The sequence below is a fragment of the Homo sapiens genome, chromosome 2 (assembly GCF_000001405.40).
Source record: "Homo sapiens chromosome 2, GRCh38.p14 Primary Assembly".
In the NCBI taxonomy this organism is placed as follows: Eukaryota; Metazoa; Chordata; class Mammalia; order Primates; family Hominidae; genus Homo; species Homo sapiens.
Window position 1 is genome coordinate 200,655,734 of NC_000002.12, and position 27,552 is coordinate 200,683,285.

The 27,552-nt window shown below is 42.0% G+C and overlaps 1 protein-coding gene across 5 annotated transcripts in view; it reads left to right on the top strand.

Annotated features, from left to right (window-relative positions):
- The window catches only part of AOX1 (aldehyde oxidase 1), a 96,228-nt gene extending 69,720 nt beyond the window's left edge, over positions 1 to 26,508 (top strand). The window contains exons 27-37 of one of the 5 annotated variants that reach the window (XR_007073113.1): positions 1,109 to 1,204; positions 3,432 to 3,560; positions 4,262 to 4,336; positions 5,846 to 5,898; positions 7,122 to 7,236; positions 10,954 to 11,019; positions 12,882 to 13,070; positions 13,842 to 14,009; positions 21,145 to 21,288; positions 23,581 to 23,689; positions 25,634 to 26,508. Coding sequence is in view for 4 of the 5 variants with exons in the window: in XM_011511062.2 (XP_011509364.1) it covers positions 1,109 to 1,204; positions 3,432 to 3,560; positions 4,262 to 4,336; positions 5,846 to 5,898; positions 7,122 to 7,236; positions 10,954 to 11,019; positions 12,882 to 13,070; positions 13,842 to 14,009; positions 21,145 to 21,231 (978 nt within the window). In the remaining variant the exon portion in view is untranslated. Of the gene's footprint in view, positions 1 to 1,108; positions 1,205 to 3,431; positions 3,561 to 4,261; positions 4,337 to 5,845; positions 5,899 to 7,121; positions 7,237 to 10,953; positions 11,020 to 12,881; positions 13,071 to 13,841; positions 14,010 to 14,895; positions 15,763 to 21,144; positions 21,332 to 23,580; positions 23,690 to 25,633 lie in introns of those variants that run through there. The other 4 variants (XM_011511062.2, NM_001159.4, XM_017003946.2 and 1 more) reach the window with 4 other exon arrangements.
- Positions 26,509 to 27,552: the final 1,044 nt, after the last annotated feature.

The window sequence follows — 27,552 nt, forward strand, 5'->3', positions numbered from 1 at the left end:
GGATACAAATAAAGAGACAGTTCTCCAAGCATGGTCCACGGTCCCCAGGCAGCTTGGAAGGCCCTTCTGATGGGCAGAGAATTGATCTGGAAATGCAGTCTTTTTCTTGGGTTTATCTGGTGATTAACATGCAGTTCCATCAACCTTCACTTAATGACCAGGGTTGCTTACAAATAATCTAAGTGAGCAACTAAGGCTTAGGAAAATTTTTGGTTTATTAAGTTGACATTGGCTTATTACCAGAATTTTCTGAAGACCTTGACATTACAAATCCTAGATTATTATGTCACTCTGCCTAAAAAATTAGATGTGAAGAAACCTAGCTGACCCAGACCACACCCATGCGGTCAGCACTTCCCTGCTGCAAAACTGTAAAGGTTGCCTTGCAGGCTTTCCCGGACCACAGTGGAACCACTGAGAGATATCTGTTCTAGGAGGACCATTGCTGCTGATGTTGCTCTTACATTGCAGAGCCAAAGGGAAGAAGCCATCCTTCTTTCCTGCTGTGATTTTCTGGGATATCCCCATATTCTAGTTTAGCACAGGCAGATACGCAAGAAGGCACATTCTTGTTAATTATAAAAACATGTTTAGCTTAGAGACTGGATGTTTCTGATTATAAGAGTCTTTAATGCTGTTAGCAGTCTGGTTCCTTCTGGATCCTTGTGGGGAGCTATACAGTTAGATAAGATTACTTCCAAGTTCTTGTCTAACTCCAAAGCTCTGTAGTTCTGTGCCAAGATGATTTAGGGTGAGCTTAGTCATTTTGCAGCAAAACAATTTTAGTGTCTATCTATCTCATCTTATATGGGATTATAAGAAAATGGATTTCCATTTTCATTTTTCTGGGACATGCCTACAACTATGAGAATATGTGTGCACACAATTATTCACCCTCTCCCTCTACCTGTCTATACTTTACTTTGTATTTTAAAATAGAGTCCCCGCCCTGGTTTCCCCCACCCCAAAAAGAAACCTAAAATGTTGCTCCACCCTGGGGGGTGCGGGATTCTTGGAGGGAAATATTTCCAAGGAAAATGTTTTAATTGACACGATATGTGATAATATCAAAAAGATCACAGAAACAGTTTTCGTCTTTTCTGCTCAGGCTGCTGCCTTGGTTCACATTTATCTTGATGGCTCTGTGCTGGTCACTCACGGTGGAATTGAAATGGGGCAGGGGGTCCACACTAAAATGATTCAGGTAAGAATGCAAATAACTCGATTGAGTTGGGTGTGTGCTTATAGATCTGTTCATGAGAGAAAAACTATGAATGGATATTTTCTGTTACAAAATACAGGATAGGAAGCTGGGTGAGGTGGCTCATGCCTGTAATCCCAGCATTTTGGGAGGCTGGGGTGAGAGGATTTCTTAAGTGAAGGAGTTCGAGACCAGCCCAGGGAACATAGGGAGATTCCATCTCTACCAAAAATATATATATATATATATATATATATTTTTTTTTTTTTTTAATTAGCAGGGCATGGTGGCATGAGCCTGTTTTCCCACCTACTTGGGAGGCTGAGGTGGGAGGATTGCTTGAGCCTGGGAGGTCGAAGCCTCAGTGAGCCAATTGCACCAATGTACTCCAGCCTCGGTGGCAGAGCAAGACCCTGTCTCAAAAAGTAAAAATAAATAAAAAACAAAGGATAGGAGATTTGAGCTTTGACAGTTTACTCTGTTAAATGATTAGCAGAAACTGGGTAAACAAACCAATTTTGCAACTAAACCCCTAAAAGAATGTGGCAGAAGAATCTCGAGTTGTTTTATTGCTAAAGAAAATTATATGCTTATTTGCTGCTTTCCTTTGGATATAGTGACAGTTGAGTTGTCCTTTCTGAGTTTTTCTTGGGCAATAAGATAATGTGTAAATTCTGATGTATTTGGATTATTTCTTGCCCTTTTTGTATTACAGGCTCCGAACAATTGCTAATATAAATCACCTTTGATATTTACAGTCAAACTTTATCTGTTTGCTTTTGGCTGTCTTATTTTAGATTAATTTTAAGCTACTGTTTCTCTTTTGTTAATCATAATAGTAACATTATAGATTATAAAATATTTGGAAGCAGCAGAACATTTTAAAAAACAAAGACCCTACACAGTTTCACCACATAGAATAATCATTATTTGGGAGTCTTTACATCTTGTCTTTTTTGCTTTTGCAAAAAAGTCACCAACATGCTTTTGTTTAATTTTGTATTCTGTTTTTCCACCCACTTTATATAGCGTGAACACTTTCTCCTGTCATTAAGCAGTCTTTACAATCATGAATTGTATGTGGCTGCATGTGGATACATATATGATTTATTTAACCATCCCCCAGTTGTTTGAATACTTCAGTGAATATTTTTGTACACTAACCTGTGATCAAATCATTGATTGTTTCTTAAAATAGACTTCTGGGAATAGAATTACTGGGTCACAGGTGTGACCATTTTAAATTGTTTGACACACATTATCAAATTGTTTTCCAGAAAGTATCCCTCTCATGACACCCCTAACCAACAGTGAATGTTATGGATTGTTGAAAATTTGTAGATAATTTGATAAGTGAATGAAAGTATCTCATTATTGCTTTCATTTACATTTTTCTGAGTATAAAGATGTTAAATACATATTTTCTCTCAGTCACTTGAGAATTGACTTTCCCCATTGGAGGGTAAGATTTCAGTGTTTTCCTTATTGGATCACCAGAGACTTTGATATTCTAAGCCTATTGCACTCTGTGTGGATGATCTGAGAGCCAGACCTCATGGAAGGGCTCTGTATGCCTGTGTCCTTGTAGAAGCTGTGGGCAAGCACTTTCAAGCCATGCTGCTAGCAGGAGAGAGGCAAGTTTGGGATCAACTAAAGTTAGCAATATGATTTTGCTCTCTAGCGCTAAAAATAAAGAATAAAGCAGCCAGCTAAGTCCTTGTGTTGGCACATGGCACTGGCGCCATCTCCTGTGACCCACATGTTCATGCCGTTGCTTTTCCAAGGCCATCGTCCTTTCTCATAGGAAGCACTCTTTCCCTGGGGCAACTCCAGAAATGTGGATAGGAGATAGACATCTCCTATCATTGATAAGGTTCTGCTAGAATTTTGCAGAGTGTGGTCGTAGGAGAAGCCTCAAAGATGTCAATATCATGATTATAAAAACAAGAATGAAGCATTTCTTCCTGCCTTGGCCTGGGGCCTCACCTCCTCTTTCTGACACTATCACCAGAAAGTCAAAGAAAAAGAAAGTGTGTTCAGGACTTGGGGTCCAGACTAGCTATAGGATTTTTAGAAACAAGAAACTTTTCATGGCTGGAGGAATTTGTGGTTCTGCTCCCTTGTCCCTGTCATGGGTATGAGGGTATCACACATGTGTTACCACGTGGGCATGTGCACAGGTCTGTGACTAATCAAAGTGTTTAAAAGGAAACTCTCTCTTAAAATTCAGGTGGTCAGCCGTGAATTAAGAATGCCAATGTCGAATGTCCACCTGCGTGGAACAAGCACAGAAACTGTCCCTAATGCAAATATCTCTGGAGGTTCTGTGGTGGCAGATCTCAACGGTTTGGCAGTAAAGGTAACAGTCACTGCAGTGGCGTCCAAATCATTAACTCCCTCAGGGCCAAATACGTGGGTGGGTGGAGCTCCAAAGATGCTGAGAGTTAATCCAACTCATATCTCCTTCCCCATCTTGCCCTCAGTCAGTGGTACAGCACCCAGTGGTTCTCCTGTGCTGGAAATGCCACCTCTTTTTCTCCCTCACTCCTGACATTTTTCTAATCAGCAAGTCCTTTCAAGTCTACTCAAAAATGTCTCTGTCTTTCTGCTTCCATATTATGTTAGTATCACTTTAAGACAGGCTCGCGCCTCTCCCCAGGGCCGATGCAGGACTTCTGTCTCTCCACCACAACTTCATTGCCTTTTGCTCTAGCTTTCTGCTGCCGGAGTGAATTTTCTCACAAAATAAATGTGGCCATGCCATGTCTGAAAGCAATGGCTGGTGGTTTTCCAAGAGGTTTTTTATTAAGTCTTGACTTTTTAGCATGGCTTACAAGGCCAGTTCTCTCTCTCACACACACACACACACACACACACACACACACACACACGTGCACACACTCATATGAAACCTTTCATATCACCTTCATACAGGGTTGGTGTCTTATTTTTCCATGTTCCCTCTTAGATAAGCCTATGGAATGGTACATATTATGTTGTTTTGAATTTGGTGTTTGCATGAAATTAGGAGCATAATTTTAATTTAAAAATAATCTCTAGGATGCCTGTCAAACTCTTCTAAAACGCCTCGAACCCATCATCAGCAAGAATCCTAAAGGAACTTGGAAAGACTGGGTGAGAATCAATGGTTCTCTGTATTTTATTTTAGAAGAAAAAGGAGTGGGAGGAGAGCAAGAGCAATGTGCATTAATTGAAATCTGTAGAAAGGGCATTTGCAAAGGTACCACCATTGTGTAATGATAAATAAAAGGCCCTTTGGCTCTTAGCATGTGGAAATCCTATCACAGTGTGGTGGAGGAACTCTTGTATCTGGGAAAATTTTCTGTTAGAGAAAAAGATGGTTCTTCTGCCAGAACTCCTGTTTTAATCCAGAATTAATTAATGTTTCATCCTATGTAGCCTAGGGGTTGTCTAGATAATAACTGTACATCTGTTTTTTCTCTTTCTTTGGGTTCTGCTGTTCCTAAAATAGAAAAACAATAGTAGAACCACTCTGTAAAAGTAAAAATCATATAAGCACTCGTTTAGAAATAGGAAACCAAGCCAGTGGGTATATGTTCATCCAGTAATAGGTACTCAATGGAATGGAAATACTCAACTGCTTCCTTTGATCTGCTTATAATCTAGTTGGAAAAGAAGACACATTCTAAAGTCAGCTAACAAACTTTTCAAAGTAATAGTTTATCAACTACCAGATGTTGTGGAACAAATATCCATAAAAGCTGGGAGCATGTGTCACGCTGGCTATTCTAGAATGTCAGTTTTTGCAACCTTACAAATACAGGTCTGGGGGAAATAACATTTGAGGATCCCACTTAGAAATGGTTTCTGCTATTCCATGGAGTAAGGACTCATTTTATAATTCATATTTATGGGGTCTGTCTATACTTCCTGGGCATATTTGTTTCTGTCCTCTGTCCCATGCTGCCTGAGCCCAGAAAGCCTGAGTCAGTGTGGCTGGAGAAAGCTGGAGAGAGGTGCAGCATGGAGAGTAGTACTCCACCACCATGAGATGCAGCCATTCAGCCCACTTTCTTCGCTAATGATTGATGTGCTTCTGACCTTCATTCCTAGACTTAGGGACTTGGACCTGACCCTGATTTTTGTGCATAGTAGTCAGCTCTGTGTACTGCAGAGTTTTGGTGTAAATGGTACAATTTAGCAAAATTATTCCCCTCACCTGAAACAAATGTGTCCAGAAAGGATTGACAGTTCCCATAAATATGAATTATAAAATGAACCCTTACTCTATAGACTAGCAGAAACCTGATATTAAAATTAAGCAGCCAACCAAGCATTGTTTTCTAAAATGTCCCATCTTAATTGAAAATTTTCTGCAGATGACTGAGTGAATTTCTTCCTAAGTGGAACATATGTTGATGACTTTAGTCCAGCCTGTATCATACCACAGCGGGCATTTAGTACAATCATAGGTGCTGAACAAACAGCTACAAGCCGTGAACCACAGAGGAGAAAGCCAAAAGGAATGGATTAATCTGGGTCCTTCCTGGTTACTATTGCTGATAGTTTTATTTAACACACAGGGTAAAATTAAAATTGAAGTCTTGAGTGATTCTTTCTTTGGGCATCCTTGTTGCATCATGCTATGCTCTTCCTTCACAGGCACAGACTGCTTTTGATGAAAGCATTAACCTTTCAGCTGTTGGATACTTCAGGTAAATACTCCCTCTGATCACATGCTATGGAGAAGAACAGTGGTATCTTGAGGAAGAGTTTCAGTTCCCTTGCAATTTTGGCAAACGTTGACTTTCTACCTTCTATTTACCCATGGTTATAAAGAACATTTAACTGCTAGTTAATCCATGGTTGTGGTTATAAAGAACATTTAACTGCTAGTATCCAGAAAGACTTCTGTTAGGAAAAATAGGCACACAAAATTCAGCTTAACTGATGATTCTAATCATAGTGGGTGGTATTATAAGGCTCTCTGTGGTTAGTACTTGGAATACTCGGCAGTGGTTGACTTTTTGTTGAAAACACGATCTATCTCTTAAGAAACAAAGGTAGGGGAAAGCAAATTAAACCCATAAGATGGGTACCATTTTACACCTTCAGGATTGGCAAAAAAGAAATTGGACCATAACCATGTTACATTAAGATGTGAAACAACAGGAACTCAGTGAATCTGGAAAACAGTTTATTAAATTATTTTAATGGAAAGTGAAAGCTGTCTGAGAGCAGGGTGATGTAGAGCCTTACCTGGTTTGATCACTTTGCCATTGGTGCGGGACCTGGGCACTGACTGCCTGTCAGGAACAGGCATTGGAAGCATTTTTAATGGCCACCTCCAGGTTGCAGGGCAGCAGAGGAGAGAGGGTAGAGAGTTCTGCAAGCTGCTGACCCATGCTTCTGTTTTACCATTATTTATTTGATGTTCTTAAAGATTAGTTAGGAACAGAGCAGGCCATGGAGCTTGATGGTGAGAGACCAGAGTAGAGACAAAGAATGGGAGCCATGGGACCTGATCCTTCACACAGAGGGGCAAATTCTGGAGCCAGAAAGATAGACAAAGCAGGCAAGCATGCACCTTTGAAATAGCGTTTGGTGTAAAATGAAGGTTGAGTTCCCCAAATCTGATGATCCAATATTAGCCAAAAGCAGTAAGATGGACATTCAGGAAGTAAGAAGCTAACCTCCAGGAGTAAGGAGGCACCAGTCAGGAGTAGTTAGATGTTTTTATCAGACAAAGCAAGTTTTAAAAGAAAAAACTAAATACTTATTTATTCAACACATTTATCGCACATACATTAGGTGCTGGCACATACATTAGGTACAGGTATATTCCTGTGGCTTGCATAAATCCTCATGGGTCTGTTTAGTCATCATGGTCTGCAATTAGGGGACGTGATCACTTAACAACACTCACTGTTTCTTCCAGAGGTTATGAGTCAGACATGAACTGGGAGAAAGGCGAAGGCCAGCCCTTCGAATACTTTGTTTATGGAGCTGCCTGTTCCGAGGTTGAAATAGACTGCCTGACGGGGGATCATAAGGTCAGTACCGGTTGGAAAGGTCTTCAAGTTGCACTTAGGATGCACCTAAATTCCACAGATGCCATCTATCTGAGGAGAGCTTAGTGAGTGGCAGCATCGTGCATTTGGCCTAAGGGTGATTTCCCTGGATTACCAGAAGAAAATAGAATCCCCACAATTGCCTTGGTGATCTGGTTGCTGCCATGGAAAACAACTGGTGGCCTGTCTTTATTTCCCTGGCCCTTTTAAATGGAATCAGGAAAGAAACTACATGAAGAAAGAAACATGCTCTAAAGGGGGCTTTCATGTAGACTATTGGCACAACCAGCAATTCTGACTTTTTATGAGAAATGCCAAGATATGACATTCTTGAAGGATTTCATAGACATCTGTAATCTGCTAACAAGCACCAAGCCAGCCCAGGGCAGGTAGTGGCCACTTTTTTATATCTTTTACTCAGCTAGGTCTTGCCTTTTAGAAGTCCAGTGTGCTATCCATTGTGCCACAGAGCTGGCTTGGTCTTGCTTTTTAGATAGTTTAAGAGCATCCTTATGCTTTCAAGGGATGCTCTGAAGAGATACACACACATACACACAAACACACACACACACACACACACACACACTCTCTCTCTCTCTCTCTCTCTCTCCCCCTCTTTCTGTCTCTGTTGCTTCAAAGACTCATAGAATTTCTCCTCTTGTACCAGAGCCTTCGGGAGTAAAAGAAGCCACTTACTGGTCACTGTCAATACTAATAAATGATCACTGATACATTAAATGGGACTGTGATACCCTAACAACTGTCATGTGACCAAGCTACCAGTTTAGTGATAATCTCTTCCAAAATGTACCTAGAAGCAAGCTCTAGTTCTTGATATTTACAAATATCCTCTATGCCTGTGTTCTTGGATTGTGATCAGATTTAAATTTTCATTTAATAAGTCTCCAGCATGTATTTTTTAAAACTATAGTCAACCTAATCTCTGAAACTATGGTCACTTTTATTGAACCTGCCTTTTCAAGTATCTAACCTGTCTGGTTCTAATTCAGACTGGATCTCTATAGGGTAACCTCGCACTAGGGCAAAACAGTGATCACTTTGAGCATGGTTTTTGTGTTAGACTAGCAGCCCTACACTACTAGGGAGCGGGTTCTTGCATAGAACTGATTTCTGTTTGTTTGTTTGTTTGTTTTTGAGACAGAATTTCACTCTGTCACCCAGGCTGGAGTACAGTGGCTTGATCTTGGCTTACTGCAATCTCTGCCTCCTGGGTTTAAGTGATTCTTGTGCCTCAGCCTCCCAAGTAGCTGGGATTACAGGCTGCGCCACCACACCCAGCTAATTTTTGTATTTTTAGTACAGACATGGCTTCACCATGTTGCCCAGGCTGGTCTCAAACTCCTGGCCTTCAAGTGATCCACCCACCTTGGCCTTCCAAAGTGCTGGGATTATAGGCCTGAGCCACTGTGCCCTGCCCATATAACTGATTTCTAAGTCCCTTCTCCCTCAAAGCAAAAGTTGGTGAAAACTTAGTCATGTGGATTTTCTTATATTCCTATATATGCATTGTCCTTGTTAAGATCCAAGAACAAGGTAATAATTAGCCTAGTATGAAATTTTAAGGCATGTTCCTATAACTTATTTGAATGATCTTAGGGGATGTGTCATATAGCCTCATCAGATGCCTTCATAAAAGCTAAATCTCAGCTCAGGTTAGTGTCACTGCTAGGCAAAGGGCCAGAATGTGACATTCTACCAGGGGCCCTCCCCAAAGGCCTGTTTCTCAGCCATTCTCCTGTTGATAGACTTGCCCTTATTCCGGCAAAATTTTCCTCACTTTGAACCTACATCTAAATATCAGTTACCTGTTCTGTACAACAAATTACCCCCAAACTTAGTGCTGAAAACAGTGGATGCTCATTAGCTCACACCACTTCTGAGGGGCTGGCCTCCGGGAGTGGCTTATCTGGGTGATTCTGCATGAGGCTTGTCAAGCTGTGGCTGGGGCAACAGTCATCTCAAGGCTCAACGGGGACAGGAGAATCCTGTTCCATCTCCCTCCATCATAGCGTTGTTGACAGGAGGCTCAGCTTCTCACTGGCTGTTGGCCAGAGGCCTCCATTCTTTGTCATGTGGATACCTCTTTGTAGGCTGCCTGAGTGTCCTCAGGACAAGACAACTGGCTTCCTCCAGAGAGACCAGCCCAAGAGAAAAAGAGAGAGCATGTGCAAGCGAGAGAGTACCCGAGACAGAAGCCCAGCTTTATAACCTAATCTCAGAGTGACTACTGTCACCTCTGCCATAGCCTACTGGTCAAACAGGCTGGCCTGGTAGAGTATAGGAGGAGACTACATATGGATGTGAATACCAGGAGGTGAGGATTATCCAGAGCCATCTTTTAGGCAGCCTACCACAACCTAGATCCACTCTCTCCAGTCCTAACAAAAGACACGACAGACAGCACTAAGCCTACAGCTTTGTGGGTTGTTTTTTTCTGTTTTGAGGTGGATTCTTGCTCTGTTGCCCAGGCTGGAGTGCAGTGGCATGATCTCAGTTCACTGCAGCCTCTGCCTCCTGGGTTCAAGTGATTCTCGTGCCTCAGCCTCCTGAGTAGCTGGGACTACAGGCACGTGCCATCACCCCTGGCTAATTTTTGTATTTTTAGTAGAGACGGCATTTCACCATGTTGGCCAAGCTGGTCTCAAACTCCTGGCCTCAAGTGATCTGCCCCCCTCGGCCTCCCAAAGTGCTGGGATTACAGGCATAAGCCAGCCCCACCAGCCTAAGCACACAGCTTTGAAAGCACAACCTTCACTAACACTGAAGACTTTAGAGCTCCTCCTCTAACCTTCAGCTGAGGCCACTTATCTCCTGGAAGGCCAGTCTTGCTGACTGATGTCAAAGAGGACTTTACATTTTACTGTGTGTTTAAATAAGAAATGTGAGTTCCTGAAGTTTTATTATTGTCAAACATTCCAGATCATTATCTAATTTTCAAATGTTACATGAAAGTCCCAGATCAAATAAGGAAACTCTTGGATTTCTTTTGTTCAATTAGTAATTATAAGAACAATCTGTTAGTCATGGCAGAGACCATTATATCACATTAAAAAAAATGTACAGACTTGCTGGAAAGCAAAGGTGTTACTAACACTCTGGCTGGGCCTGCTGTACTTCTCCTCATTTGTAGGTTATCAGTAGCAAGTTGTAGTGTCAACTTTATTCTCTTCTCTGCTACAAAAATGAAAAGTCTAGAACAGCAGATGACAATTTGAAGACTTTTTTGTTGGTGCACCCTGAACTCTGTGGTTCAGTAAACATTCCTCAGCCAGTTGTACCTGGATGTTTGGTTGTATGCTAGCCATTAAGCTTTGCAACTAGGATCGTGAGGGCCATAGATGTTTTCTTTTGTTGTGTCATATGTTATATCTGTTGTAGTGAATTAAACTCAATCTGTTGCATCATACAGCTTGAATCAAAATGAAGTAAATATTTTTTTCTCCTATTATTTCCAAGAAAAAAAGACAGTGCTTCAGCTGGCTAAGAGTATTTGTATAATTTTGAAAGTTTTACATAATAAACTTTGTCCTATAATAAAATCTTTGTTGCTTCTTTCGAAATGACATGGCTGAAAGAAAGGCTTTATACCAAAGTCAGCCTGGCAGGAAGTGTTCCTCAGCTTCTTCTCCCTAAGTTATTCTCATTAAAATAAACATTTTAACTTTTTTTTAATACTAGAACATCAGAACAGACATTGTCATGGATGTTGGCTGCAGTATAAATCCAGCCATTGACATAGGCCAGGTACGTGTAACTGATGTGTCTCACTTTCTATTTGTAAAAGCCAAAAGTGCGGTGGGGTCTGCAGGAGAGCATTCCATCAGTCTTATTCATCATCTTATTTTTCTAACCCTTTAGTCAACTCTATTCAGACCAACTGCAGAGCTCAAATGTTTTACTGTTTAAAAGGGGGAAGGAAATAAAGGTGTTTTAGGTAGTTTTTGAAGAAACATAAAATCTGTGACTAGGGAGCTTGAATGAGGCAAGACCAAGCCTACAGGTGACTGATGAGCTCCAAACTTCTGGGACATAAATAGAGTTAGTGCCCAGTGCTGAGCCTTAGCCACACGATGGGCTTCAGCTTCGAGGAGTTTGAAGTCGTGTTGGGATAACAAGCCTCAAGTCATCAGAGCAGTAGCTGTTGGTAGGCAGCCTGTAGTGCTGGATTCCACCCACAGACATTTTCAAATTTAAATTTGAAATAGTTGAAAAGATTGGAAAGTCATAAATATCTAGTTTCTCTTGAAAACAGAAAGTTTGCCCACACTGGATCCTCATTTCCATGAGTGAAGTCGGTGGGCTGTACCTTTAGAGTCCCACACTCTCCAATGACACAGGACCCACCTGGAATCTTCATATACTGGGTTTGCGTGTCTCGAACCTGGAGGCAATTCAGCTCATTACCTCTGATTTAGGGCACCATCTTGTGTCCCCTCCCCCCCACCCCCCGCCCCCACCATCATGACATTGCATTATTGGCGAATGGGAAGAATCTGTGGTGTGGAGAAGTCAAAGGAGGCTTAGGGAGGAAGTGGGTGTGAACCAGGTTGTCAAGGAAAGAATGAGAAACGACATTAGGGGTGAAAGAAGAGTGGAGGAAGTCACCCTACAGAAACACATGGAATTTAGCATGCCTGTTCATGGCTGCTAATCAGGCCAGGGCAGATGACTATGGGGAAGGCCTGTGTGGGAGGGGTGGGCCATGAGGAGGGAGTCAGAGAGCAGAAGAGGGCTGGGGACTGCCAGGGGTGGGTGGAGGGCTTTTAGAGACAAGACTTCACTTAGTGGGGATGGACTGAAGTGTTTGGAAGACTGATCTAAAATCAGAGTCCAGAGATGTGAGGCTAGCCACTTTGTGGGCAAGGAGGTGGGATGAGACAATGGGATTGTAGCATTCACTAGCACCCTGGGGTCTCTGGACACATCAGTCAGGGGGGTTTGTCTGCCTCATGGGCAAAAAACAAAAGAAGAGGGTGCTTGGGCTCCAGACTCTGTGAAGACTCTTCCTGAGCACTCATTTCAATGGCCAAACCAAAATTAGAACCCTAGTCCTTTGTCTTTGACCTTCTTTTTTTCATGATTTTTATTTATTATTATTATTATTTTTTTTTTTTGAGACTAAGTTTTGCTCTTGTTGCCCGGGCTGGAGTGCAATGGTGCAATCTCAGCTCACCGCAACCTCCGCCTCCCAGGTTCAAGCGATTCTCCTGCCTCAGCCTCCCGAGTAGCTGGAATTATAGGCATGCACCATCACACCCAGCTAATTTTTTTTGTATTTTTAGTAGAGACGGGATTTCTCTATGTTAGTCAGGCTGGTCTCAAACTCCCAACCTCAGGTGATCCGCCTGCCTCGGCCTCCCAAAGTGCTGGGATTACAGGTGTGAGCCACCACGCCCGGCTGACTTTGAACTTCTTTTAACTTAATGCTGAACAAACATGTTTAAAATGGCTTTTAGATAAACTTTCAGCAACATGCTCCAAGACACCCTGAAAATGCTCTTAAACTGTAATTTTAAAATTCAAGCAAACAGCATGAAGTTGAAATGCTACTTAGTGTTGACTGTGTTTTCTCATACGTGGAAATTCTTTTTTTGTTCTTGCCTCAGATTGAAGGTGCATTTATTCAAGGCATGGGACTTTATACAATAGAGGAACTGAATTATTCTCCCCAGGGCATTCTGCACACTCGTGGTCCAGACCAATATAAAATCCCTGCCATCTGTGACATGCCCACGGAGTTGCACATTGCTTTGTTGCCTCCTTCTCAAAACTCAAATACTCTTTATTCATCTAAGGTAAGTAATGTTCTATGGGTAAATATGCATGTTTATATGATACCTGTTGGGTGACAGGAAGGCTACATTCCTCTCTTGGCTGTTTGGGATTTTTACCAGGATTGCAGAAGAAAAATTCTTATTAAACATTTTAATTCTAATCTAACATTATGATAAAAATTTTTAGTATTCCAAATCTTAGAACTTAACATCAACTACTATTGCCATCAGGTTCTATCTAATTTTTCACCTTGCAATAATCATCTTCATGCCTAATAATCATCTTCTGTATGTAGGTCATTTCCTGAGGCTAGAATTCTAAGAATGGGAATATTGGATCAAAAGATTAAATTACTTTTTGAAACAAAAAATTTATATAGGCCGGGCGCAGTGGCTCATGCCTATAATCCAAGCACTTTGGGAGGCCAAGGCGGGCAGATCACCTGAGTCCAAGAGTTCGAGACCAGCCTGGCCAACCTAGTGAAACCCCATCTCTGCTAAAAATACAAAAAAATAGCCAGGTGTGGCGGTGCATGTCTATAATCCCAGCTACTTGGAGGCTGAGGCAGGAGAATGGCTCAAACCTGGGAGGCGGAGGTTGCAGTGAGCTGAGATTGTGTCACTACACTCCAGTGTCATGCTTGGGCAACAGAGCCAGACTCTGTCTCAAAAAAAAAAAAATGTACATATGTAGTACGTAATATTTTTATATATGCACATATGCTATAAATATGCACATATATACAGAGTGAGAGAGAGAGGTATAATCTAGTTGGCATGCTTCCTTTCAAGGGTCTGGGAGAGTCGGGGGTGTTCCTGGGGTGTTCCGTGTTTTTCGCTATCCATGACGCAGTGAGTGCAGCACGACAGGAGAGAGGCCTGCATGGACCCTTGACCCTTAATAGTCCACTGACCCCGGAGAAGATTAGGATGGCCTGTGAAGACAAGTTCACAAAAATGGTACGTTTGCATGGTAGAAAAAAAATAGTGATCATAAAATTCTGAATTTTTGGCCTCTGTTCTTGTGGTAAGTTTTCGTGAACGCACTGCTGTGGCTTTTCTTGCCAGAAAAGGTGACGGGAAACCTGGGGGCATTTGAGCAGATGTGCAGAGGGGTCCTTGAACTTGTACCCCTCGGGTTGCATTTTTTCATCAGCCTGCCCCTGCTTGGCTCCATTCTATACTATTTGACAAAAGAAAGTTCATTCCCATTAGTTTTATGTTCCTCTCCTGTTTTGCTCCCTTCCTAGGACACCTTGGTCAGGAATAGAAGTTCAGGAACTATGCCCTGAACCTAGGACACCCAGTCCAGGAATATAGGCCCCTCTGACAGTCTGCCTCCACCCCAACCCCAAACGGGCACCCGGAAAGTATGCTAGCAGGAACCCCTCCCCTCTGGCAACAGCGCCCATGCCGAGCAGACATCTCTACCCTCCTTGGATATTTTCAGGGACAGGGTTTTTAATTGTGGAAGAAAGTCATACTGTTCACAGTTACCACCCTGACTTTGACTGAAGGGAAAGCCCCTCCCATCCTCCACTCACACTGGCTCTTTGTGGTATCCTTCATGGTTTTCCCTAAGCCCCTGACACGTTGCTTTTTCTACTCTGGAGAAACAGAGACCCACTCCACTTTTCACTGGGTGGTCTTCAAGCGTGAGATGATAACCCCAGGACCTCTCCAGTCCTCCCCTGGCTTCCTCTATACTTCACAGGCTGTTGTTCCCTGACCTGTCATGGCCCTGGTTGCCCTCTGCTGGTGTTTAACCTACTTTATGTTCTTCTATTTTTCACCTAAGTCACAAACATTTCCCAGGTTTGAACATCCAGATTTGTTTTTATTTTAGATTCCGAGAGATGAACCTGGATCCTACGTTCCTTGGAATGTACCCATCTGAATCAAATGCAAACTTCTGGAGAAAACAGAGTGCCTCTTCCCAGATGGCAATCTGTCCTATCTCTGTGCTGGAAGATGCTAGATCTGAAAGACAGAGTTTCCACAGTTCAGAAATCATCCCACAGTGTTGCTTTTCTATGGAGCTGATTTAAAGTATTCCATTTAGATTTGATAGATATGCTTAAGCAATCTATAAATCATTTTCAATGTTATAAACACTAATTGGTTTCCTCTAGGGTGATATCCGTCATTACTCTGTCTCTTCAATCCATCCAGCTAAATGGAATAGGTGATGACTTGCATGTGACTCCTACTTGGCTTCTATCCACCAACAGAAATTATACCATATAGTGAAAGGCAATTTTCTAAATAATTTCATTACTAATATGAACTGTGAAGTTGTCATTTTTTCATTTGTCCTTTTCTGCTATCACCTTCCTCTTGTCAGAATGAATATAGACACTGTATCTAAGTGGGACCAAAGAAAAAATAGCGAACTTTCACCAAAGTTTTCATGAAAACCCAAAAGCTTTAAAAGTTACTATCAAGAAATTGAAAGGAAACCCACAGAATAGGATAAAATATTTGTAAATCATATATTTGATAAAAGTCTTGTAACCAGATACATAAAGAGCTCTTACAACTCAATAAAAGGCAAGTAATTTAAAAATAGGCAAAAGAATTGCTGGATGGTATGGTAGTTCTATTTTTAGTTTTTACCCTAACTACTCTGACTTGATCATTTAACATTCTGTGTATGTAACAAAATATCACATGCATAAATATTATGTATCAATAAAATTTTTTAATGGGCAAAGGATTTGAGTAGATGTATCTCCAAAGAAGATATATAAATGGCTAGTAAGCATTAAAAATATGCTCAAACTCATTAGTCATTAAGGAAATGCAAATCAAAACCACAATGAGCCACCATTTTATATGCAGTAGGATGATTGTAATCAAAATGATGGACAGCAGTAAGTATTGGCTAGGATAGGGAAAAATGGGAACACTTATCCATTGCAGGGGGCAGTGTAGAATGGTGTAGATACTGTGGAAAATAGTTTAGCATTTCCTCAAGGAGTTAAACATAGTTAACATAGAAGTTAAACATAGAATTACCATAATCTTAGGTATATACCCAAGAGAATTTAAAACATATATTCACCCAAAAATGTATACATAACTGTTCATAGCATTATTCATAGTATCCCAGAAGTGGAAACAACTCAAATTTCCATCAACTAATAAAATGTGGTATATCCACACAAGAGAGTTTTATTTGGCCATATAAAAAAAAAGCACTATTACATGTGACAACATGGATGAACCTTGAAAACATTGTCTAAATGAAAGAAGCCAGGCACAAAAGGCTGCATATTATATGATTCCATCTATACAAAATGTCCAGAACAGGCAAATTCACAGACACAAAGTAGATTAATGGCTACCAGAGGCTGCTGGGACCACAGACTGCTAATGGATATGGGATTCCTTTTCGGGGTGAGAAAAATGTTCTAGAATGAGTGGTGATAATTTTACAACGTGTGAATATACTAAAAACCACTGAATTGTAATTTTATAAAGGTGAGTTTTATGGTATGTGAATTATACCTCAATTTTTAAAAAAGTATCTGTGGAGAGAAACAGAAAATGTGGGAAAGATTGAGAAGTTGTGAGAATCAAGAAGCCTGTCCCAATCAATGGCTTTCCAAAAACATGGAAGCCTCAAAGGGAGGCTAAATAGCAAGGCATAGTCAAGGAAAAACGCCATTTCCGTTAAGAGCAGAGAGAAGTCACATGGATCTCTGCCTTTAAGAGCAGATTTTCTCATTTATACCACAAGTATTTATAGAGCATTTTACTCTGTGCCAGGCACTGTACTAGGCACTTGAGATTTATCAGCAAACAAAATAGACAGAGATCCCTGTCCTTGGGAAGATCCTATTTTGGTAAGGGCAGGCAGAAAAATTTTAAAAATAATAAGTAAATTACAGGAGTATGGTTGATGCTTGAGTGCTAAGGGAAGAAGTAGAAGTGGAGCAGGTTAAGGCCAATGGAGAGTGATGGAGCAGGTGGCAGGTTGTGGTTAGAATAGGTCAGAGAAAGCCCTCCTGAGGAAATGAGAATGGAGGCTGTGAGCTAAGCAGGTATCTGGAGGAAGAGCATTACTGGGGAGACAAGGCATTAGAGCAGAGTCTCTTGCAAGCAAGTGTGCCTGGCCCGTTTGTGGAGCAGCAGTGGGGCCCATGTGGCTAGCACAGAGCCAGGGACGGGGGCAGCCATGTAGAACCTGGAGGCCGCTATAAGGACTTGAGCTTTTAATCTAAGTGGCTGCAGAGCAGAAAAGTGACATGGACTTGCTTCTGTTGCAAAGGATTATCCTGGATGCTGTGCTGATGCAGGTCGTGGGAGGGCAAAAGTCGAGGGTAGATGCCTCCTTTCTGTCCCTTTGCCAACTCCTCCCCCTCCAGCCCACCTCTGTAAATGTTGGAATTCTCGAGACAGCCATGGGCCCTCTTTCCCAGTCTCTCTGCCTGGTGGGTGGCTGCCTTTACTCCCATGGCTGGAGGTAACTCTCTTGCTTAAGCTCTGGCTCTGTAAACCCAACTCTTGCTTTTCATTGCCACTTGGATGTCTCAAAGGCACTTCAAACGTCCCAAGCAGATCTCCTTTTCTGTACAGCCATCCACAGGTTGCTAGGCCGGAAACGGGAAATGATCTGAGGTGCTCTGTTCTCTTTGCGCACACATCTATTCAGGCACGAAATCCTGTCAATCCCACATCAAAGACAGTTCCTGAATCTGCCTCTCCCTCTCTTTATTTCCATAGCCTCTATGTTACTCCAAGCCACCTTCATTTCTCCCCTGACTATTGCAATAATCCCCTCCTGATTTCCCTGCATTCATTTTGCTTTCCTTCCAACCATTCTCACATTGAAGCCAAAGATATACATGAATTTGTGGGCACACACACATGCACATGCACACACAAAATCATCATGTTACACTCTTGCCTAAAACCCTTCAATTGCTTCCTATTCATCTCAGCAGAACATGTCCCAAATCCCTAAGATGGCATCTGCAGCCTAGGTTATCTAGCCCCAGCCTGTCTCTCCAGCGTTGGCTCATGTTCCCTTCCCTTTTCCTGTCTGGGTTTCCTGTTGTAGCTCTCACTCTGGAGCCTTTGCCTGTGTCCTCTGTCTGGAGGGTTCTATCACTTTTACCCCTCCTTGGGTCTGACTGCCACTATCCAGTACTGCTCTGCAGTTACAGGCACAAAAGTAACTTGAGGATCTTGTGAAAACACAAGTCGTAAGATCAGGCAAGCAAAAGCTATACAGTAAGAAGGAAGCAGAACATCCAGAACCAAGCAGGAGCAGGAGCGGGAGGAACAAGCCAGCAGCAGAAGCAGGTACCCCAGACACAGTGGCCCACGCCGGTGCTTCAGCGTCTCTCCCTCAACTCACACCTAGAGCTGCTAGGCAGAGTGGAGGGGTCCTTAAGCTGATGCAGAAGGAAAAAGACAGAGCTGGGTTCACAAGAGGGTTGGCTCCATACTTGGGTACAATCCAGATATGCAGTGTTGGCAGTATAGACCCTCTTAGAGGTGGCAAGGGGAAATTTTCCCAATAGGCAGGGCTTTGGGGAGCACACTGATTATCCACATTATGTGGAAAACAGGAGTGGTGCAACCCAAGGTTAGGATATATATGGAACAAATGGTTTGGCCAGCTGGTCAAGGGCCTGGGTGGGGGGGGTGATATTACAAGACTGGGGACAAGATGGCATATGAATGGGCATATGGAAGTGGCATGATATGTGAAGATTTTTGTATCACAGGTTAACACCCAGCAGGAAGCTCCCACTGTGAAAGATTTGCTAAACAATTAAGTGGACCAAATGAGATGGCCATGTGACATTAGCCAACTCTGTCATCCATCACCCCAGTCAGTGCTCACCCAATGGTGTCAGGGATGGAGGCCTTGCACGGGCCCGACAGCATGGGCTTCCACTTGCCATGTAGCTGATGCTGATGCTGAACATCCAATCTGCTTCCAACACAGACCAAAACTGGTCCTCAATTTGACACCATCCCTCCAGGAGACCAACTGGCCATTTGGTGGCAAATTGACTACACTGAACCCTTTCCATTCGGGAAGGGGCAATGATTCACTTTAACGTTTTCTGGGTAGAGGTTTGCCTTTCCTGCCTGCAAGATCTTAGCCATCACCACTATCTAAGGGCTTACACAGTATTACATTAATCATCATAAGATCCCATGTAACATCACGCCGGGGCAATTTACAGCAAAGTAAGGGGATCTGCTTCACAGCAGCCTGGGAGTGAGTGCATGACTGTGGAACCTGCTGGTCACATCAGACGCTATCCTGCTTGGAACAGCTGTTCTGACAGAGCAATGAAACAACCTCGCGCAGGCACAGCTGGAATGCCAGCTAGAGGATGGGCTCCCTCCTCCAGGACGCAGGATGCTTGAAAATGAGCACTCTGTATGATGTTATGTCCCCAGTGGGTGGTTCATACTGGCAGAGGATAGCTGGGCATTTATAACAGAGAATGGTTGGTACCTATTGTATATAATAAAATTCTACAGATAGATAAATAAAAAACCTACTAGGGAAAAATAATCAAAGGAGAGAAGAATAAGTACAAATACTCACTAATTGTCTAGCAAGATGGATAACCTCACCAAACTAGAGAAATGCCTACTATGAACTGTCATTTCTCCCACATCCTGGAAAACTGGACAGTAGGGATAATGCTCAGAGCTGGAGAAGGCTGTGTACATGATTTGTTATATTAAGGAACACATTTTAGAAGGTGATTTAGTTGGATTCAGCAATGTGCATAGCCTTCAACCCAGGAATTCCAACTCCAGGAATTTGTCCAACAGAAATACTTGCTCAAATGTCCAAAGGTGAAGTCCAAGGATTTTCATGGCAGCATTATTTATAATAGTGAAAAATTAAAAACAATGTAATGTAAATCAATAGATGACTAATAATTTATGGCAATAATACAAATAGTTAACATTTACTGACAGCTTACCTTCCTATGTGCCAGGAACTGTTTTAAGCACTTTACTTCACAACAGCCCCAAGGGAGATACTGTTATTTTGACTATTTTACAGAAAGCAATTGAGGCATGGAGAACCTAAGTATTAGGTTGGTGCAAAGGTAATTGCACTTTTTGCCATTGAAAGTAATGGCAAATACTGCAATTACCTTTGCACCAACCTATAACTTGAAAAAAAGAAAATTTTAAAATAGCATGAATAGTTTGAGTTCACTTTTTAGAAACTATCAAAAATTATGTATGCATGTATGTATCTATGTATATGTGCATGGGAAAATTCTGTACAGACGCACAGGAATCTGATACTAGTTTCCTTTGCGAAGTAAACACTGGGATAGAGGATTTTCACTTTTTGCTTTATATACTTTTATGTTTTTTTAAAATAAGCCTTCTATTTGTAATTTAAAAACAAATTATGAAAAAAAGTACATTTACCATCAAGAAACTCCCCTGAATGTAGTTCATTTGCAAATATAGCATGATTTAGCTCCATGTCACTGACTAAAGCAGCTTCGTGTTGCTGCTTTAAGAAGATGGTTTAAGGCCGGGTGCAGTGACTCATGCCTGTAATCCCAACACTTTGGGAGGCCGAGGTGGGCAGATCTCTTCAGGCCAGGAGTTTGAGACCATCCTGGCTAACATGGTGAAACCCCGTCTCTACTAAAAATACAAAAATTAGTCGGGCCTGGTGGCGTGTGCCTGTAATCCCAGCTACTTGGGAGGCTGAGGCAGGAGAATCACTTGAACCCAGGAGGCAGAGATTGCAGTGAGCCGAGATCACACCATTGCACTCCAGCCTGGGTGACAGAGTGAGACTACATCTCAAAAAAAAAAAAAAAAAGAAGAAGAAGAAGAAGAAGAAGATAGCTTATTCCAGTGGGTTGTCCCCATGGCAAGGAGAAATATACATTATGTAAGGGCTGAATTGCCATGAAAGTTCCAGGTTGGCTTAAAGGAGGAGGAAAGTGGGGGTAACAGAGCAAGGCGGGGAGACAAGAGGGTTGGGAACATAGACAGACAGGAGCTGGTTGGAGGAACACACTCAGGAAGCAGATACAAATGGCCCCGGAAGCTGCTTCATCCACTATTCATCCTCTTCCAGGGAGCACATGGCAAGCCTGTCAGGCGGACACAGGAACAGGTGCTTTTGATACAACTTCACAAGATTCAGCCAATGCTGGTGGCATAATGTCACATTCCAAGGCGTCAGATGAACTTGGTTTGTTTGTATGTGAATGGAAGAACAGTAAGTTTTCTACATTATTAATAAATTCATATAAAGAAAGAAACCATGATAGAAGCAATCTTTTATTAATGTTTGCCAAGACGATCCTAGGTTCAGGTGACTTGTGTGTGAGTTGCTGATTTGCTGTGTGACTGTGACAAACCTATAACAATCTGTATCTGTAGTCCTTAGGGTTCTTAGGGAAGGGGAGGAGAGAAGGAGGGAGGGAGGGAAAAAGGAGGAAAGGAGAGGGAGGTGGAGAAAGAGACAGACAGAATCTCTGTAATGCATGTAAAGGTGTCAGGATTACCAGATGCAAAGCGATTGTGTTGATAACTTCAGACCACATTTTGTAATTGCACCTGTATTCATCCAAGCCATCAGGCATTGACTTCTCTTTGCTAGGATCTTTCTTGCATCTCTCTCTTCCTCCCCACTTCCTCCCACAGCTCTGCCTCCTTCAGCTCTTGTCCCACCACCACCATTGCCACCACACACAAACACATACGAATTAAGGGTCTCAAATCTTCCCATCATTTGCAAATAATTACAAAACTTTTGACTAGCAAGAATGGAAGAGAAGTCATCCAGAAAGCCAGGAATAAACTTCACAGTTCACTGACATTTTAACATGTTGTCCTTTATGCAGGGAATTCTTAAATCATTTAAGTGAATGGGCCAAACAATTGTCTGGGCCCACTTTGCTCCGAGTGCTTGAGATTTAGCTAAGGCATCATCTATGACTAGAATTGGTGCTCCTTGTTTTTCATTGTCCTTGACACCGTGCCTGATGTGCAGCCCAATATCCTTGTTTTTAGCATCGTTGGCCAAGAGGAAGAGATAAAGTTGAAACCGAGCATACCCGCCCTGCATGTCGCACACTCCACGTGCGGCTATGAAAAGAAGTGGAGGCTCAGAGTGGTTATGTAACGTGCCCAAGATCCCTCAATTAGCAAGCACTAGAGGGACCCTGGCTTTCATTCAACTGCTCCCAAAGAATCTCCCAAAGATCCCTCAATTAACAAGCACTAGAGGGACCCTGGCTTTCATCTGACTGCTCCCAAAGTTTGGTTTTTTTCTACTGCTTCGTATTTCCTCCACTAGGGAGATGGCAACTCTTCTAGAATTTCTCTGTTAAAGGGAGGTGCTAGTGGATTGTACGAATGTTTTCCTGTGGATACCAAAAGAATGCTATTTGTCTACTGCTGCCAAGGTCTTGCTTACTTAACTTTTCAAATTTGATCAAAGAACAAAGAGTATGTTTTGCAAGTGGTGATGAGAATTAAAACCCTTAGTTCAAGTCTCCATTCTTTTATTGAACTGTGAATGCAAGAATTTTAAAAGTGTATAGCTACCCAATATTTCATAAATTTTTATTATTTTCTTCAAGCCAGGGTTGTGTTACAATGCAAATTCTTGTTGGTTATCCTCTGAAACAAAGCCAAATATTTGTCCTGCCAAAAGAAAGTCAAATACAGTACAGCGTCATGTAACTCTGTAATTGCTAAAGAGATGTTTAATCAAGCCAAGGAAATAAGATCAACCAACCTATTTTAAATGATTCTTACTATTCAGAAATAATGGGCCACAGGAAAACTGACTCAATCTATATAATCAATTCCTCTGTGGAGGTCATTGAGATAAATTCAGACCCTGAAGTAACTTTACTGTTTTTTCTAAGAAAATATCATATCTTTTTGTTTGTTTAAGAAAGCAAAGCAAATTAAAAAAAAAAAAAAAACCTCTGGATACTGCAATTTCTCTTGCACTTACAGAACATTTTCCTTCTGTCATGCATCATTTCAGTTTGTCAGTGTGATGGCTGGTCAAATAATTACCTGCCCTTGTACAGCTTACACTCTGGTGAAGTTATTGAATGACTTGCCTTCCAGTTGGTCTCATTTAACTTCTTCCCCACACCTTCCAGGCTTTTTATAAAATCATACTAGAGATTGTTTGAAGGGTAATGTGTTAATTATCTGACCAACCATCACAACCAACAAACTGAAATGGGCATAGGAACAACTAGAAACCATTTCAATTCCTGAGATTTTTAATTTTAACAAGATAGTTTGGAAAGAAAAATGGCTTTCTTAATTCCAAGTAGTAGACTCTTTATTTTTAGGTAGCCATACTATTATACATTCAAGATCATTTATGTCATGGCCCAGCTCTAACACTCACTCAATTAATTATATTCATATCAAAGTAATTACTATTATAATCATCTAAATACATATTTTCTTTTTCTTTTTTAACACTGCTGCTGTCACTGTGCCAATTCTTTTTGGCTTTACTGTGTAAACTCTGAAGTCACTTCTCTGTCACCGCTTGCCTGGTGCCCGCCTCCTTTTTCTGTAGAGCTGCCGTCACCACCAGAGAAGGTGTAGGAAACACCTAACCCAGGATTCACCCAGTTCAGGTAAGAGCACATTTGAGGATAACAATGGGTTTAGGTAGCTTCTCTCTCGTTGTCTGGGTGATCGCTTATGGTTTCAGAGGACACAGATGGCAGGTGAAGGTCTCTGTCTCCTTTACAAGAAGAAATATTACCCATTCTTAATTTCCTTTTTCCTTCTGCAGCTTTATTGATTACTATTTGAGGCTTATTACACTTCCATAAAAATGTGGAGGAGGTGGCGATGAGGTAGTGACGCCCCCCCCCGAGTCTGTCACTTCAGACCATCTCATTGCCTCAGGGAGGAATTTCTCCCTAGGAATGCTTTGAGTCCTGCCACAAAGACATAAAAAAGGGATGATTCACATCTATTATGGTTCCTATAATAAAATAAGAAAAAGGATTGGGCACAGTGGTGCACACCTGTAATCCTGGCACTTTGGGAGGCCGAGGTGGGAGGATCGCTTGAGCCAAGGAGTTCAAGACCTGCCTGGGCAACATAGCAAGGCCCCATCTATAAAAAAATAAACAACTCAGCTGGGCATAGTGGTGTGTGCCTGTTATCCTAGCTACAGGGGAGGCTAAGATGGGAGGATCACAAGCCCAAGAGTTTGAGGCTGCAGTGAGCTATGATCGGGTCACCATACTCCAGCCTGAGTGACAGAGCAAGACTTCATCTCTAAAAATAAATAAAAATTAAGATAATAAAATAAAATGAGAAAAACAAGGACGCGTATTCTATGTTTGGTCTGTGTAAATAGTCATGCTGATAATTCTAGCCAGAAAGAATAGTTTTGTGACCTGAATGTTTAATTTGGCTTGTTGCTATGTAATAGTCTTTGGTCAAGACTATAGATGTTGATACAGGAGGCAGAAAATAAGAAGAAAAAATGACAATATATGTTGAGCACCCCACACCAAACCAAGTTATAAACCTTTGGATATAAAGATTATGTCTTACTCTAAAAATACCCTCTCCCATCACAAGGAATTTGTATTCCATGAAGGTTGTTGGCAAATCACTGAGTCAAAGGTCACAGGGGAGGAAGGTCACTAGCCTGCTGGTTCTTTGGCCCCCAGGAATCCTCTCACTACATCAGAGGCACACAACAGTGTGTGTTTGTCTCAGGGCCAAGGTTTTTGTTTTTGTTTTTGTTTTTGTTTTGAGGCAGAATCTTGCTCTGTTGCCCAGGCTGGAGTGCAGTGGTGCGATCTTGGCTCACTGCAACCTCCGCCTCCCAGGTTCAAGCAATTCTCCTGCCTCAGCCTCATGAGTAGCTGGGATTACAGGTGTGTGCCACCATTCTCAGCTTATTTTTGCATTTTTAGTAGAGATGGGGTTTCGCCATGTTAGCCAGGCTGGTCTCAAACTCCTGACCTCAGGTGATCCAACTGCCTCAGCCTCCCAAAATGCTGGGATTAGAGGTGTGAGCCACCATATACCCAGCCAGGGCCAAGTTTTTATAAGATTTTTAAACTTACATACTGAAGATACATTAGTAAAAATGCCCTAAAGTGAAGAAAACGCCAGTTACCCTCCCAGGTCAGAACAAAAAGTGTGAAGTGGAAAAGCTGGAGCTCTCTTTGTGGAGGGAAGCCTTGGCAATAAGTCCCTCCAATTTAACTTCCTTTCAGGAGGAGGGGCAAGTGGGAGCAGAATGGGGAGAGAACACAATAAAAGTAGGTAATCCCTATGTCTGTGGTCTTGGTTAAATCTAAACTCTGCCCTTGAAGTGATGCACTAGGCTGACATTGAGGACTTCCTTTCCCAACTGCCTCAATGGAGTTTTTTTCCAGAAAGCCTCCATTGGCATCCGAAATGTGAACAATCATGGCACTTCCAGCTGCTACCTGACAGGCTCTGGACCTACCTGTAGTTGTACCAATCAGAGGCCTCTGTTTCATTTCTGAGAGACTCTTACCTCTAAACTTTCCACCTGGAGCCCTGTGTCCTTTGCTTTTACGAAGGAATTGCTAAAGCCCACAGCCCCCAGTGTGGGTTCTGCACCCTGGAAATGGTGATGACCATCTACACTGTCCTGAGGAGCCACCCAGAACTCTCCACAGAGCAATTAATGGAAATCTTGAGTGGTAAGTCTCTAACCTCTTCAACTGTAGAAGAGTATTGTCCTTCCAAGAGGAGCAGAGATGCTGGAGCATTTTCATCCAAGGGATCAGGCCAAAAGGCTCAAAAAAATTTATTGATTGATCTTTATGATTCACACCTCTTGAGTAGTGTGGGCAAGAATTATCCATTCCTACTTAGCAGGAAGGGAAACTGAGGCAGTGAGCCAGAAAGTAAAGTCAATTTTCCACATGACTGTTACATTCTTGGCACCATATCAGTTGTTTCTGGTAATTTTAATGTAATATATATTTGGGTAGCATATGCTTATTGAAACAGTCTTTGTGTGGGTGTCTTTGATGCAATTCCAATGTTACTGGAATGGTATTTGGAAATATTACGACTCTAAAATCTTTTAATTATGTATTTAGAGCTAGCCAAAAGAAGCTGTGACCTTTTGGGGTTTTTTTTTTTATTATTTGCTATGGTTGTTGCTGCAATTGTTACTGAAGTGTTATTAATGCTTATGAAATCATAGACTCTTAGGAATTGGGAAAAAACACTACGACTCATAAACTTGCATGTAATTAAAATGGCTTAAGACTTTAAAAATGATATTTCCACTGTTTTGTCCTTTCAGAAACTTTTTTATTCTGATTAAATTTCACATATGCATTCTATCCTGTCAAGATACTTTTAAATTTTTATGCTGCTATTTACAAATCTGATAAACACTGCCTGCTGTTTTTATATAAGTTATTGACTAAAATATTGAACAGAATAAGCCAAGCAGAGAACTATGAGAAAATCAACACTTAACATTGAACTGTTGCTTAATTAAGTACAAGCCTTTCTGTGATATGCATTTACGTTCCTATATCCTTTCCACAGAGGACCACAGGTGAGTCAAATGCCCCTTGAATCCCCATGCAATGTGTCTATGACATTGATCAGAGTCTCAGTCTAGAATTTTTTTCCCAAAAGGGAATGAATGTTCCCTTTTGGGAAAAAATAACGTTCTTGAGGTACCCAATCTCCTCTTAGGAGCCATCATTCCTAGGCCCTGTTGTCAATAATCCATTCCAGAATAGATTCAGAAAATTGCTTGAGAATGAAGTCAACCTCGCTTTATTTTTTTTTTTATTTTATTTATTTATTTATTTATTTATTTATTTATTTTTTATTGATCATTCTTGGGTGTTTCTCGCAGAGGGGGATTTGGCAGGGTCATAGGACAATAGTGGAGGGAAGGTCAGCAGATAAACAAGTGAACAAAGGTCTCTGGTTTTCCTAGGCAGAGGACCCTGCGGCCTTCCGCAGTGTTTGTGTCCCTGGGTACTTAAGATTAGGGAGTGGTGATGACTCTTAACGAGCATGCTGCCTTCAAGCATCTGTTTAACAAAGCACATCTTGCACCGCCCTTAATCCATTTAACCCTGAGTGGACACAGCACATGTTTCAGAGAGCACAGGGTTGGGGATAAGGTCACAGATCAACAGGATCCCAAGGCAGAAGAATTTTTCTTAGTACAGAACAAAATGAAAAGTCTCCCATGTCTACTTCTATCCACACAGACCCGGCAACCATGCGATTTCTCAATTTTTTCCCCACCCTTCCCGCCTTTCTATTCCACAAAACCGCCATTGTCATCATGGCCCATCCCCAATGAGCCGCTGGGCACACCTCCCAGACGGGGTGGTGGCCGGGCAGAGGGGCTCCTCACTTCCCAGTAGGGGCGGCCGGGCAGAAGCGCCCCTCACCTCCCGGATGGGGCGGCTGGCCGGGCGGGGGGCTGACCCCCCCACCACTCTCCCGGACGGGG